The sequence below is a fragment of the Homo sapiens genome, chromosome 2 (assembly GCF_000001405.40).
Source record: "Homo sapiens chromosome 2, GRCh38.p14 Primary Assembly".
Taxonomy (NCBI): domain Eukaryota; kingdom Metazoa; phylum Chordata; class Mammalia; order Primates; family Hominidae; genus Homo; species Homo sapiens.
In genome coordinates this window covers 85,316,784-85,330,847 of record NC_000002.12, presented here as the reverse complement: position 1 = coordinate 85,330,847, position 14,064 = coordinate 85,316,784, and the positions used below count along the sequence as shown (strand labels likewise).

Below are 14,064 nucleotides of genomic sequence, written 5' to 3'. Positions count from 1 at the left end.
TCTTTCTGGCAGTTCTTGGAATGTGCATGCACATACACACATTTGTGTAGATATTTAATATTTATGTACCGCAAACTGCATGCTCCATGAAGTTAATACCTACCTTAAAAATTTGATATAGGGCCGGGGGCAGTGGCTCACGCCTGTAATCCCAGCACTTTGGGAGGCCGAGGATGGTGGATCCCCTGAGGTCAGAAGTTCAAGACCAGCCTAACATGGAGAAACCCCATCTCTACTAAAAATACAAAATTAGCTAGGTATGGTGGCGCATGCCTGTAGTCCCAGCTACTCGGGAGGCTGAGGCAGGAGAATCGCTTGAACCTGGGAGGCAGAGGTTGTGCTGAGCCGAAAATGCACCATTGCACTCCATCCAAAAAAATTTTTTTTTATATAGTTGTACATATTTATGGGGTACATGTGGTGGTATTTTTATACAGGTATACAATATGTAATGACCAAATCAGGGTAAGTGGGATATCCATCAACTCAAATATTTATCTATTCTTTGTATTGGGAACATTACAATTCTTTTCTTTTAAAATATACAATGTTTCTGTTAACTATATTTTCCTACCGTATTACTGACTACAGAACTTACTCTTTTTATGTATCTGTATTTTTGTACCCATTAACAAACTTCTCTTCATCTTTCCTCCCATCTTCCCTTCCCAGCCTCTGGTAACCACCTCTACTTCCATGAGATCCACTAGTCTCAGCTACTTGGAAGGCTGAGGTGGGGGATCACTAGAGCCCAGGAGATGGAGATTGCAGTGAGCTGAGATCGTGCCACTGCACTCAAGCCTGGGTGACAGAGTAAGACCCTGTCTCAAAAAAAAAAAAAAAAAAAAAAAGAGAGATGGGATCTTGCCATGTTGCCCAGTCTGGTCTGGAACTTCTGGGCTCATGTGATCCCCCTGCCTCAGCCTCCCAAAGTGCTGGGATTACAGGAGTAGATATCTTAGATATACTTATTTCCTTTCTTTTGTACATATCCAGCAGTGGGAATACTGGATCATATGGCAGTTCTATTTTTAGTTTTTGAGAAACTCTGTGCTGCTTTCCTTTATTTTTTTATAGAGACAAGAGTCTTGCTACGTTGCCCAGGCTGATCTCGAACTCCTGGGCTCAAGCCATCTGCCTGCCTCAGCCTCCCAAGGTGCTGGGACTACAGGTGTGAGCCTCCATGCCCTGCCAATACTGTTTTCCATAATGGCTGTACTAATCTACATTCTCACCAACAGGCTATTAGCATTCCCTTTTCTTCTTATCTTTGTCACCATTTTGTATTTTTTTTTCTTTTGATAACAGTCATTCTAACTGGGGCTAAGATGATCTCTTATTGTGGTTTGGATTTGCATTTCCCTGATGATTAGTGATAGTGAGCATTTTTTCATATACCATTTCTATGTTGGCCATTTGTATGTCATCTTTTGAGATATGTCTATTCAGCAGGTCCTTTGCCCATGTTTTTCTTTTTTCTTTTTCTTTTTTTGAGATGGTTGCCTAGGCTGGAGTGCAGTGATAAGATTTTGGCTAACTCACTGCAACCTCCACCTCCCAGGCTCAAGTAATCCTTCCATCCTCAGCCTTCTGAGTAGCTGGGATTACATGCACAGGCCACCATGACTGGCTAATTTTTTGTATTTTTGGTAGACATGGGGTTTCACCATGTTGCCCCGGCTGGTGCCCATTTAATTATATTTTTTCCTTGAGTTTATTATATATTCTAGTTATTAATCCCTTGTCGGATGGATAGTTTGCGAATAGTTTCTCCCATTATGTAGGTTGTTTCTTCACTGTTTCCTTTGCTGTGCAGAAGCTTTTTAACTTGATGTAATCTCATATAAGACCTATCATTTCTTAAATCACTGTCTCCAAAGCACCAAGCCTGGCAATCGTTGATAAAGTGATTTCAAACATTTAATGTATAAACATAACAGTAACTGTAAACGGTGAGATACAAAACCACTTACCTGATTATCCCAATATGGGGAGAAAATAAATATGCATAGAGGAAAAGAGAAATACACTAATTAAGAAGGGAAAGAGTCCTTTTTTTTTTTTTTTAACAAAACTAAATGGAAACATAATAAACTAATGTAAGCGGTAACCTGTGGAGGAGTAGGAAGACTTTTCTAAAGTCTGTTTACTTTAAAATCCGGTTTTCATTTCTGAAACATTATAATGTATTATCTATTCAAAAACATCAAATGTTTAGAGGGCAGACAATACACTAAAACATTAATAGTGATTATCCCGGAAGGGTAGGAGTCAGGCTTTGTTTTCTGCTTCTGTATCAGAAAAAGGATGCACTTTTTGGAAAAGATGTTTGGCGACCTGGAAGGACACCGTCTCCGTGGAGTCGGGAAGGAGGAGGGCCAGGATGCGAAGGCAACGCTTTGCAGGTGATCGGATGGATTTATTCCCACATGGGAGAGACCAGAGCACAGCACGTTTGTGTACGGCCAGGAGGGAACCACGAAAAAAGCAGAGGATAGAAACGCAAGCACACGATGGTGGTGGCCAAGAGGAGCCTGCCCCTAGTGACCTCACTTCCGCGGCCAGTGCGAGAGGCGAGGGAGCTCCAGCTCTGCCTGTAAGGTCTCGGAAGTACGAGGCGGAGGGGACGAAAAACGGGGGGCCAGACTGTTGTGGCTGTGGTGGAGACGAGAAACCAGGAAGAAGAGGCTCGCCTCCCACTCGGCGACAGTAAGCGAAGCAGCCGAAGGCGAGCGCCGACATCAGCAGCTGCCCCCTAAATCCCGCCCTTCGTCTTGGCGGCAGCGGGAGACTGAGAGACGCGCGCAGCAGGGGCGGGACTGGAGAGGGGCCCCGCGCGCGGATCTCGCGAGAGCATTAGAGGGCGGAAGCGCTATCCGAGCAGGATGCGGTTCGTGGTTGCCTTGGTCCTCCTGAACGTCGCAGCGGCGGGTAAGACCCTCCATCCCGCATCCCACTCTTGCCCCCAGATCCCCCATTCTCACCTGGGCAGGTCACCTCTAGGCTCGCTTCTTCCCTACCCGACCCACCTCTCCGCTCGCCATCGTCTCCCGCCCCACCCCCCAATCCCCATTCCCCCGCTGCTCCCGATCTCTTCCAGTTCTGAGGAGTTCCTTCTTCCCGCCTGCCCTTCTCCGGTGCTAACTCGTTTTTCTATTTCAGGAGCCGTGCCGCTCTTGGCCACCGAAAGCGTCAAGCAAGAAGAAGCTGGAGTACGGCCTTCTGCAGGAAACGTCTCCACCCACCCCAGCTTGAGCCAACGGCCTGGAGGCTCTACCAAGTCGCATCCGGAGCCGCAGACTCCAAAAGACAGCCCTAGCAAGTCGAGTGCGGAGGCGCAGACCCCAGAAGACACCCCCAACAAGTCGGGTGCGGAGGCAAAGACCCAAAAAGACAGCTCCAACAAGTCGGGTGCGGAGGCAAAGACCCAAAAAGGCAGCACTAGCAAGTCGGGTTCGGAGGCGCAGACCACAAAAGACAGCACTAGTAAGTCGCATCCGGAGCTGCAGACTCCAAAAGACAGCACTGGCAAATCGGGTGCGGAGGCGCAGACCCCAGAAGACAGCCCCAACAGGTCGGGTGCGGAGGCAAAGACCCAAAAAGACAGCCCTAGCAAGTCAGGTTCGGAGGCGCAGACCACAAAAGATGTCCCTAATAAGTCGGGTGCGGACGGCCAGACCCCAAAAGACGGCTCCAGCAAGTCGGGTGCGGAGGATCAGACCCCAAAAGACGTCCCTAACAAGTCGGGTGCGGAGAAGCAGACTCCAAAAGACGGCTCTAACAAGTCCGGTGCAGAGGAGCAGGGCCCAATAGACGGGCCCAGCAAGTCGGGTGCGGAGGAGCAGACCTCAAAAGACAGCCCTAACAAGGTGGTTCCAGAGCAGCCTTCCCGGAAAGACCATTCCAAGCCCATCTCCAACCCTTCTGATAACAAGGAGCTCCCCAAGGCTGACACAAACCAGCTTGCTGACAAAGGGAAGCTTTCTCCTCATGCTTTCAAAACCGAATCTGGGGAGGAAACTGACCTCATTTCTCCCCCGCAGGAGGAAGTTAAGTCTTCAGAGCCTACTGAGGATGTGGAGCCCAAAGAGGCTGAAGATGATGATACAGGACCCGAGGAGGGCTCACCGCCCAAAGAAGAGAAAGAAAAGATGTCCGGTTCTGCCTCCAGTGAGAACCGTGAAGGGACACTTTCGGATTCCACGGGTAGCGAGAAGGATGACCTTTATCCGAACGGTTCTGGAAATGGCAGCGCGGAGAGCAGCCACTTCTTTGCATATCTGGTGACTGCAGCCATTCTTGTGGCTGTCCTCTATATCGCTCATCACAACAAGCGGAAGGTAAGTCGACAGCGGCCTTCCGGAGGGGAGTGGGGTTTCCAGCACCCTGGAAGCTTGGGTGTGGGTGGGTATCCCGTCACTAGATGCCCGTGAGCACTGGGGACTTTAAAACAAACTTCAGTTTTTTCCTCAGGCCCTATTAGGCCTCTTTACTCTTGTTTTGTTAATCGTGTTTTCATCCTGTCACCTGTTTACTCTGAGTGTCCTCTGCTACTGCATTAGGAGCCAAGTTAGGACATTATTAGGATCTGACCTGACTTGGAATCTCCTCCCATAACTTTGCACTTAGGTCCTTCACAGCCTCAGAGGACCTGAGTACTTGACAGTTAAAGCACGTACCTTCCATCCTATTTCCCTTCTTGAGACGATATGTCATTTCTAGCTTCCTTTCCCAACATTCTCTCTTCCATCAGCAGTGGCACAAAGAATGGTTTCAATTACTGCGTCTTCGATACCAGGACCAAAGAGCCCAGGGACTTCTGCAATTAATAATAATTAGAAGAAAGCCCAGAAATTGCACAGACACGTACACCTGTTACTTTTTCATCAGGGTTTGGTCTGTTTATTAGCAACCACTCTAATGACAAAATGATTGCATTTCATATTGAGCCCCCAACATTTAGAAGCTAGTTTCTGTAACCTGCTTAAAATTGGAGAGTCCAATTCTGGCCATAAGGCCTATGGCTATAAAGAATAAAGGGGAAGACCTTTAGTAAAAATGTGCATTCCTGGCCCGGTGCAGTGGCTCCTGCCTCTAATCCCAGCACTTTGGGAGGCCGAGGCAGGAGGATCGCTTGAGCCCAGGAGTCCGAGACCAGCCTGGCCAACATAGCAAGACCTCGTCTCTACATATAATAAAAAAATTAGCCAGATGTGGTGGTGGACGTGTGTGGTCCCAGCTACTCAGGAGGCTGAAGTGGGAGGATGGCTTGACTGTGGGAGGTCGAGGCTTCAGTGAGCCATGATCACGCCATTGCACTCCAGCCCGGGTGACAGAGTGAGACCTTGCCTCTAAGAAAAAAAAAAAGTGTATTTCTTATTCTATGTCCAAGTGTCCATTATGCAGGGTAACCTTAGTCATGAAATGAGATTGATAAAGAATGTAGTTGATGTAGCATCGTGGGGTGAAAAAGTACATTTGTAGATAGGAAATTCTGATTATGACTTTTTTTAAAGGAATGTCCTATATCCTAGATATCTCTAGGAAGGAGTTGATAGATCTTTGACTGTGTACCTTTGAATAAATCAAACAGACTTCCTCCCACACGCTAGAGCTCAGACAGCCTTCTATTTGTTATTTCCTATTAAGCAATACAAAGGATTCTGATGTAATTAGGCTCTGTCTTTCTTAAAATGGTTATAGTTTAAATAGACCTCTGTGAGTGTACTGCTCTTTCTACAGTCAGGGTCATTAACAAATATGCTACCAGGTGACTGCCTCTGAGTTCAGAGACTGAACTATGTCATTACAGAGCCACCTGTTAATCATTTTCTTTTTCCTTTCCTCAGATCATTGCTTTTGTCCTGGAAGGAAAAAGATCTAAAGTCACCCGGCGGCCAAAGGCCAGTGACTACCAACGTTTGGACCAGAAGGTAAGGAAGGAGGAGCCAGGTCCATGGGAGGGATAGGAGGGATAGGCAACGTCAGATGGACCCAGTAGTGGGCTTGCATTTGCCATGAAGCAGCAGTGGCTGATTCTGGGGATGCGGTTGCTGTTGCTGTTGCATTCGCCCTTTTTAGACAACAAACTAGAAACATCTAGATACACATATCTGTGACGTTAGAGCTAGCAGAGACCTTGGAATACTCTACAGCAGCTACCTCCCTTCACAGATGAGGAAATAGGCCCACGCAGAAACACTCTTTTTTTTTTTTTTCCGCTAAGTTTCTACTGCAAGTTAGTGGCAAACTCAGGACCTGATAGCAACTCCCTAGTCTCCCAGTCCTGAGCTTTCTGCATTCTGCCAGCGCTCCATAAACTTTAATAGGCATTTGAATCACCTTGGGGAATTTTGATAAAAAGCATTATCTGATTCATTAGATGTGGGGTGGAGCCTATATTTCTACATTCTTTTTTTTTTTTTTGGAGATGGAGTTTTGCTCTTGTTGCCCAGGCTGGAGTACAATGGTGCAATCTCGGCTCACTACAACCTCTGCTGCCTGGGTTCAAGCGATTCTTCTGCCTCAGCCTCCCGAGTAGCTAGGATTACAGGCGCCACCACCACGTCCAGCTAATTTTGTATTTTTAGTAGAGATGGGTTTCTCCATGTTGGTCAGGCTGGTCTCGAACTCCCAACCTCAGGTGATCCGCCCGCCTCGACCTCCCAAAGTGCTGAGATTACAGGCATAAGCCACCGTGCCTGGCCTGTGTCTACATTCTTAGGAAGTTCCCAGGTGAAACCAAATGCCACTGGATCCACACTTTGTGTGGTAAAGTGCTAGACTGTGCTCCCTGGAAACACGAGCCTGGAAGCACATAGGCCTCCAACTCCCCACATCAGCCTGGCTTAAGCACCGTAGGCTGGAGTTCCTGAGTACAGCCAATCCATTCCTCTGTCAGACAGATAAGCCCTCCTTCCACCCCATGGCAGCAGAGCTAAGCAAGGGTCTCTCTAAAGACAACCTGTCTAAGCAGGAAGACTGTACTCTCACTGCGTTGCTACCAGCATGCACCCTTCCTTCTGCTTTCAGCATAGCAACAGCCAGGACATTGGCAAAGAACCATTGGTGGCCCAACTATGAATTGTTCCCAGACTTCCTGCAGGGAACACGATTCTCTTGCACAACTCAATATTAGCTACAGAACGAGCCACTGAGCTCAGAATATCTTTGCTAACTAGTCCAGTAGGCTAGCTTTACAATTTAGCTCTGGACTACTGCCTTTTCAGATAATTGACTTTAAGGGTTTTCCCCCTTTTATGATTTTTGTTTGTTTGTTTTTGAGACGGAGTCTTGCTGTGTCGTCCAGGCTGGAGTGCAGTGGCACAATCTTGGCTCACTGCAACCTCCACCACCCGGGTTCAAGCAGTTCTCCCTCTTCAGCCTCCCGAGTAGGTGGGATTACAGGCGCCCACCACCACGCCCAGCTAATTTTTAGATTTTTAGTAGAGATGGGGTTTCACCCTTTTGGCCAGGCTGGTCTTGAACTGCTGACCTCAAATGATCCACCCACCTCAGCCTCCCAGAGTGCTGGGATTACAGGCGTGAGCCACCACACATGGCTTATGATTTTTAAAAAAATACACATGTGGCTGGGCATAGTGGTTCACGCCTGTAATCCCAACAGTTTGGGAGGCAGATCACCTGAGGTCAGGAGTTCTAGATCAGTCTGGCCAACATGGTGAAATACCATCTCTACTAAAAATACAAAAATTAGCTGGGCATGGTAATCCCAGCTACTACTGAGGAAGCCGAGGTGGGAGAATCGCTTGAACTTCGGAGGCAGAGGTTGCAGTGAGCCAAGATCATGCCACTGCACTCCAGCCTGGGCAACAGAGCAAGACTCCGTCTCAAAAAAGAAGAAAACCACCACCAACAAAAAACACATGTAAATAATTCACAACAGTACAGAACAGTATGAAGCAGAAGCCAGGATTCCTCTCTCTCCATCAAGTGTATATCTTTCTAGTGTTAGGTTTCATTTCAAACTTTAAAAATCATTTTGTGTGCTATTTTAATTAATTGCTGTTTCTGTGGTGGTGGGTCAGTATGTCTTAATTCTGAATGTTTTCCCTGCACCTCCTAAAAGATCTTTTTTCCCCTAAGTCCTAACAGAATGGTATATTCCTCTGGAAAAAGATGAACGTCACCAATGGATTGTGCTGCTCTCGTTTCAGCTTTGATTTTTTTGTCCTTGAGAACCTTGTCCTCCCTGCTGATTTGTTTCTAAATCAAAAGAAATGAAGAAAAAAGTACTGTGACCTGAGAGACACCCTCCTCTAGAATTTAGTGGCGGGTCTGGGCTGGCAGAGGTAGGGGGCTGCTTTGGGCTTTGCACCTGCACTTTGGTGACATTGTTCTTCTGTGTTCCCTTTATTTATGCTGGTGGCTTCCATCCGTTCCTCCTCTGAGGGTGAGTGGAGGGGTATATGGAAACACGGCTATGACCAAAGGGAGATCCCAGCCTGGGCAGGCTGCGCTGCTGACCACCCTCCCTGGGGCCCGGGCTCTGTAGGAAAGTTGGTCCTTGACTGTGGCATTGCACTCTGCACTGTTTCTCTCTGCAGACCTAGGGGAAAACTGCAGGTGGAAGTGCTTTTCTACTAAGGCCTCTTACTTTGGGGGGGATGTGCCCTACAGAAGACATAGAAGATGGGGAAATGCCAATGGGCAAAGAGCTACTTTGAATACATAATTCTCTTCAAAGACTTCAGCAGCAAACCAAAACAGCAGGTTAAAAAAAAAGATGCTTTTTTGGGTGCAAGTCTAACCTGTCTAGCATGAGATCTTCTTGATTTTCTGATTATTTTATGTAGCTTGAGACAAAGTGAATCAACTTCCACTTAGTTGTACCGAGCATAAAACAGAACTTGGGCTTCCTGGCAGTGAGGCCACTGTCCCATCACAGATTTTTAAAATAAATATGATTTGAAGTAGTGTGATCTTTCACACAATCATACTCAGTAGGAACTTTTTGAAATAGGGCAAGTTTATGTTTCATGCGAGAAAACATGAAGGAGGGTTTTGGTTTTGGTCTGCAGTTTTTCCAAAGGGCTTTTATGAGATACATTTCCCACAAAGTCCATTTTGCCTTTGTTGCCTAAAACAGACAAAATAGACTTAGATTTATTAATAGAAACTATACTCTCTGCCAATTTTACCTCAGTGTATTTAATGGTCCTTTAATCTGATATAAGATGCCAAGGGTATTTGATAAAAATTCTTCTTCCATGCCATGTCAGGAGTTAATACAAATGAAGAAATTCCGTGGGTTCCCCTGGGATAAGTGAGGGTAGTGTCTTGGACAACACTATTGTTTGAAGGTTTATCTTTTCTAATCATGCTCTACCGCATTGTAGAGAGCCTAAAGAGAGTTGTTTCTGAGCTGATCTCAGGGAAATACAAATAACTTGGGAGATGAGGGAAATAAGATGAATTCTGTGCTGTCAAGGCAGTAAGTCTGAAGAAAGGACCATGCTTCTTATATTATCTTCCACCTTGCTTAAAACAGCCCATAGCTTTGAGTTGACATTTTCATTCTTGGCGGATAGCCTACTTTATGAAGGTAAGGAATGAACTCCTACCCTTCTTGGGTCATTCTCTGTACTGATGCGTTAGTCTTATAATACTTTGCACCAACCTGAGGAATCTTCTAGGCTTCTCTAGCATCCCCTAAGACTGTGGCTATTTCACGTCTCTCTCCCTGCCTGCCTTCCTTTTCCCTTCCTTTCCCCTCCTCATGTTTTCTGGTTGTGCCCATCTGTACCAGCTCCTTTCCATCCACCTTCGTATGCACCCAGATTTTTCTGTTCCCATCTGTCCTATTTGTTATTCATCCCGCTGCTCAACTTCTCCAGTATGTTGCTTCCCTTAAGTTGCCATTCATTCTCTTCATGACTTTTACTAACTCACTTCGGTCTCTGTCTGTCAACTAAACTTTTCTAAAGGTTACCAGTTATCCAATCACCAAATCCATGGCTTTTTCTCAAAGCTTAGTCTTGTCCTTGGCAGAACTGGACACTATTGACCATCCAAATGGAAATTCCCCTTTCTTGGTGTCTCTGACAAATGGTCCTTTGCCTTATCTTGTGCTGGTGGTGAAGAGGCCCTCAAAGCCAGGCCTCTCTATTCCTTTGACTGTCTCCTCAGCCATTAACCCATTCTTCATCCTCGGAGTGAGTGATTCCCAAGTCTTTGTCTTGGCTTAATCCCTAAAGAACCCAGTTCTGCTGGTATCGAATAGTTCAGCTTGGTTGTCATTGAAAGGAATTTCTCTCTTCTGTCCATCAGCCTGTCCCTCCCAACTGTCTAGGACAGTCTTCGGTCACCTAAATTCCTAACTGCAGACTTTTGCCCTTTTTCTCTCTCATCACCAAAGTCCCATCCATTTTTTTTTAATAAAAGATCCTCAGCTACAGTCTTTCCATTTTCCTTGCTTCTCTTATTGCACACCCCCAGCCCATTTTGCTTCTCTCTTGGATTTTGTTTTTTCAGATCCACATTTATTGGGTTTCCTGTCCAGCTTCTTGGAAAGGAGCTCACTCTTGGAAAGACTGATCTTTCCAAAATATTTTCCCTGGTCTGAAGCTTTGGTGTGAACTTCTCAAGGCTTAGAGAATCCAGTTACAGACCTTTTGGGGTTCAGGATGCTATAGATTGACACCCTCCTGCCTGTTTTTCTCTGCATCCCAACCTGGCCAAGGCCCCTCCTGTGGGGTGCCCATCTGTGCCTTTATTCCGGCTGTGCCCTCGACTTTCCAGCTTCCCATGTTTCTTTGGTTAGGTTTCTCTCCCTTCCTTCTTTCTCCTTCCCCAATCCGCCTGTTTCGTCAGGGCCCAGTTTGTTTCCTCATACACCTTCCTCACTACCCCACCCCACATGGTTGACTCTTTCCCTCAGCTCCACCAGCTCTTCATCATGCCACTCATTTCAGAACTTGAGCAAAACAGGGCAGTCAGGATCTGATGTCTTTCTGGTCTCCCTAAGAAAACTAAGCTCTTGAGGGACAGCCCTTGGCAATGCTTTCCTATCTGCTGATCATGGTGACCTTCCTTAGGACTTCCAGAGTTCAGTTCCTTCTGGCAGAGAGGTTTTCTTTCTCCATGCCATATGGATGTGACTCAAATGAGGGGTCCCACAGCTTTTCCTGGCTACCACTTGCTGTGACCTTATACATGTTGGGGTTTGCTCTTAAAGAGGAGAGCAGGAAGAAAGGTTGGTTTCAGAAACCAAGAGGGTCGGCAGTGGACGCGTACATTTTGTCACGGAGTCCACAGAGCTGAGCTTTTGAGCAGACTCTGAGAAGTATCATTGCTTGTGTTGAAAGAATACAACAGGATTTAAGTTTCTCTTTAGAAATTGCACTGAAGAAAGGCCGGGCGCGGTGGCTCCCCCTGTAATCCCAGCGCTTTGGGAGGCCGAGGCGGGGGGATCACGAGGTCAAGAGATCGAGACCATCCTGGCCAACATGGTGAAACCCCGTCTCTAATAAAAATACAAAAATTAGCCGGGCATGGTGACGTGCACCTGTAGTCCCAGCTACTAGATAGGCTGAGGCAGGAGAATTGCTTGAATCCGGGAGGCGGAGGTTGCAGTGAGCCGAGATCGTGCCACTGAACTCCAACCTGCCAATAGAGCGAGACTCCGTCTCAAAAAAAAAAAAAAAAAAGAAAGAAATAGCATTGAAGAAAATACCGCACATCAGAGGAAAGCTTATTTTCTGCATGGTGTCTTTTCAAAGATAGAATATTTGAAGCATGTTTTCTAGCGATTGTGTGGATGAGGGTGAGCTGGCTGAGGCATCGCTCAAGCTGGGGGGTGGTGTGTAAGAAGCACGTGGAGCCACAAGAGGCACCTCCTATAGTCAGCTAAGGGCTTCCCTTTCTGCGCCCAGCTTTTGGGTGAAGGGTGATTTCTATTAGACACATCTGTGCTTCAGTCATAGATGTTAATAGAGGAAGCAGTTTTCCTGCTGCAGATTCCTGAATAGAGTTGCTGAAAGAGTCTACTTCTGGACTCAGGGGAAGTTGAAGGCCAGTCTGTGTAGAAAGGCTGAGGCAACGGGGAAAGACCTGACAGCTAGTTACATACGCTCTGACATAGTACTCCCATGATGGCTTCCAGTGACACATGTGCTGATAGAATTCTAAACCTCTGGAATTTCCCTGCTGGCGACTTCTATGGCCGTTGACTGTACAGGGTAACCTGATGCCAGATGCTATGGGCGTGATGAGAACTAGAGCATTGCAGCATGGAGGAAACTGTGAGGCACCAGATCCTGTGCTTCTGCAGGCCATTTTCTGAAAACCCCTGTTAGGAAGGTTGGATTTGGCGTGACTTGCTTGAGCAAGAGTCCTGGGGAGAGATTTTGAGGTTTAATTTAACGGTATATCCAGAGCTAACAGTGACTCAACTCGTCTAGTTCTGCAAGTCAGATGTACACTTAGAGTCTCTCTGTGAAGGGTTTGGGTCTGAGCTGTATAGTATGTCAAACTGCCAGTAAGCCAGCCCCTCACCCTCTGATAGATATTCCTTTAATGCACCAGACTTCATGTTTGATAAATGATTAATGGTTGAAATTGTTTCTCTTCTTTTGTGTTTTCCCAGTTAATAGATGGTCACTGTTTCCACAATGTTTTATACTTTCAGCTTTTTGTAACTTAACTATAATTACTTAATTTTATTTTTTTAAAGCTTGTTGTGGTCTAATGAGAAGTATTTTTCAGTGCATAATGTTTTTCTGAGCTTCTGTAAATGCCATCCCAATGTGGTTTGGTTTTGTTGAACAGAAACCAAAATAAATTTCAAAATGTTAAAGCAATGGATTTAATACATTTATTTATTTATTTATTTTATTTTATTTTTGAGACAGAGTCTTGCTCTGTCACCAGGCTGGAGTGCAGTGGTATGATCTTGGCTCACTGCAACCTCCGCCTCCCAGGTTCAAGCGATTCTCCTGCCTCAGCCTCCCGAGTAGCTGGGACTACAGGTGCGTGCCACCACGCCCAGCTAATTTTTGCATTTTTAGTGGAGACGGGGTTTCACCATGTTGGCCAGGATGGTCTCAATCTCTTCTTCGTGATCCGCCCACTTTGGCCTCCCAAAGTGCTGGGATTACAGGTGTAAGCCACCACGCTCGGCCAATAAATTTATTAATATTATATTAAGATGAACTCCAATAAGACCTTTGGCATGTCAGTTTAACATAAGTGAAAGGTCCTTTTTATGCCTTTTGAGCCTTCCTTCACCTTCCATCCAACACACACATGTACCAGTAAATTGCAGATGCCATTTCTGGGCTTTGCACACTTTCTCTGGCTTTCCATGTTCTGCTCCTGACCAACTCTCTTGCCACCTGACTCCTCCCAGCCTGGCTGCCTGCTTTCAGTAGCTGGGCCATTGCTGGGAACACTCTGTTGCCTCCCTGTGCTGTCCTCTGCTGTGCCATTGTGTGGAATGCCCTGCAGCCTGCCTCAACACAATGAAGTAATCTTACCAGTCGATGCCCTGACTCCTGACGTCACCCTTCCCTGCCCTGTGTCACCTTTCCCTGCATATTTGGAGGATAAGGCTTGATTGAGGCTCGGGTACCGAGCTCCCTGAAGGTGCCTTGATGCTGGCACATCGAGAACCAGATGCCACCCCGATGATAAGGAAGACAGACCCGGGACTTCCATATGAATTGGGTATGATCGTCTGACATGCACCCTACTAACTGATGGATCCTGCTGTTACCCCAAAGCTCCAGAACCACACTGGCCAGACACAGGCATTTCCTGTCCCCTGAAGAGCCACTGAACCCAGCACAAAAGAGATCTAGAGCTCTCCAAACCTATGGAATGGCAACCAAAACCATGCCCAGGTTTTGAGTTAAGCCTCATTAGTCTCCCTTTTCCCTTGACAGTGTAGAACTGTGCAGCGTAGCACTAAGTGAATGAGAGCAGAAGCCTCAGGACAGAACTGAACCCACCAGCTTGAGCTGACAACACTGCCAGGGGTTCTGTCCACAGATGGAATATTCGCTTTGATCACTGAGTTAGGAGGCATGGGTGAGGGATGCAGAG

General features: G+C 46.6%; 1 protein-coding gene across 4 annotated transcripts, besides 4 other annotated features; it reads left to right on the top strand.

The window, feature by feature from the left end:
* Positions 2,297–2,466: an enhancer, noted in NCBI's record as "active region_16119". NCBI's record gives its function as "activates an Ori minimal core promoter by ATAC-STARR-seq in GM12878 lymphoblastoid cells {active_cell/tissue: GM12878}" and the evidence as "EXISTENCE:reporter gene assay evidence [ECO:0000049][PMID:35858748]".
* Positions 2,497–2,806: an enhancer, noted in NCBI's record as "active region_16118". NCBI's record gives its function as "activates an Ori minimal core promoter by ATAC-STARR-seq in GM12878 lymphoblastoid cells {active_cell/tissue: GM12878}" and the evidence as "EXISTENCE:reporter gene assay evidence [ECO:0000049][PMID:35858748]".
* Positions 2,859–12,821, top strand: TGOLN2 (trans-golgi network protein 2). Of its 4 annotated transcripts, NM_001206844.2 has the most exons (5): positions 2,859–2,931; positions 3,163–3,869; positions 4,044–4,340; positions 5,850–5,933; positions 8,107–12,821. In NM_001206844.2, exons 1-5 carry the CDS (start codon positions 2,886–2,888, stop codon positions 8,110–8,112), a joined length of 1,140 nt encoding a protein of 379 aa, NP_001193773.1. In that variant the 5' UTR covers positions 2,859–2,885; the 3' UTR covers positions 8,113–12,821. The 4 variants fall into 4 exon arrangements, with proteins under 4 accessions (NP_001193773.1, NP_006455.2, NP_001355025.1 ...); NM_006464.4 differs by having other exon boundaries at positions 3,163–4,340; NM_001368096.1 differs by having other exon boundaries at positions 3,163–4,340; positions 8,090–12,821.
* Positions 3,667–3,846: an enhancer, noted in NCBI's record as "active region_16117". NCBI's record gives its function as "activates an Ori minimal core promoter by ATAC-STARR-seq in GM12878 lymphoblastoid cells {active_cell/tissue: GM12878}" and the evidence as "EXISTENCE:reporter gene assay evidence [ECO:0000049][PMID:35858748]".
* Positions 4,087–4,256: an enhancer, noted in NCBI's record as "active region_16116". NCBI's record gives its function as "activates an Ori minimal core promoter by ATAC-STARR-seq in GM12878 lymphoblastoid cells {active_cell/tissue: GM12878}" and the evidence as "EXISTENCE:reporter gene assay evidence [ECO:0000049][PMID:35858748]".

Bases quoted from the DNA above. Each gene is read 5' to 3' on its own strand.
- TGOLN2 (NM_001368095.1), top strand. From the start codon at position 2,886: ATGCGGTTCGTGGTTGCCTTGGTCCTCCTGAACGTCGCAGCGGCGG. The intron at 4,341-5,849 runs GTAAGTCGACAG...TCCTTTCCTCAG, and splicing joins CTCATCACAACAAGCGGAAG to ATCATTGCTTTTGTCCTGGA. The intron at 5,934-8,048 runs GTAAGGAAGGAG...GTGGTGGGTCAG, and splicing joins ACCAACGTTTGGACCAGAAG to TATGTCTTAATTCTGAATGT.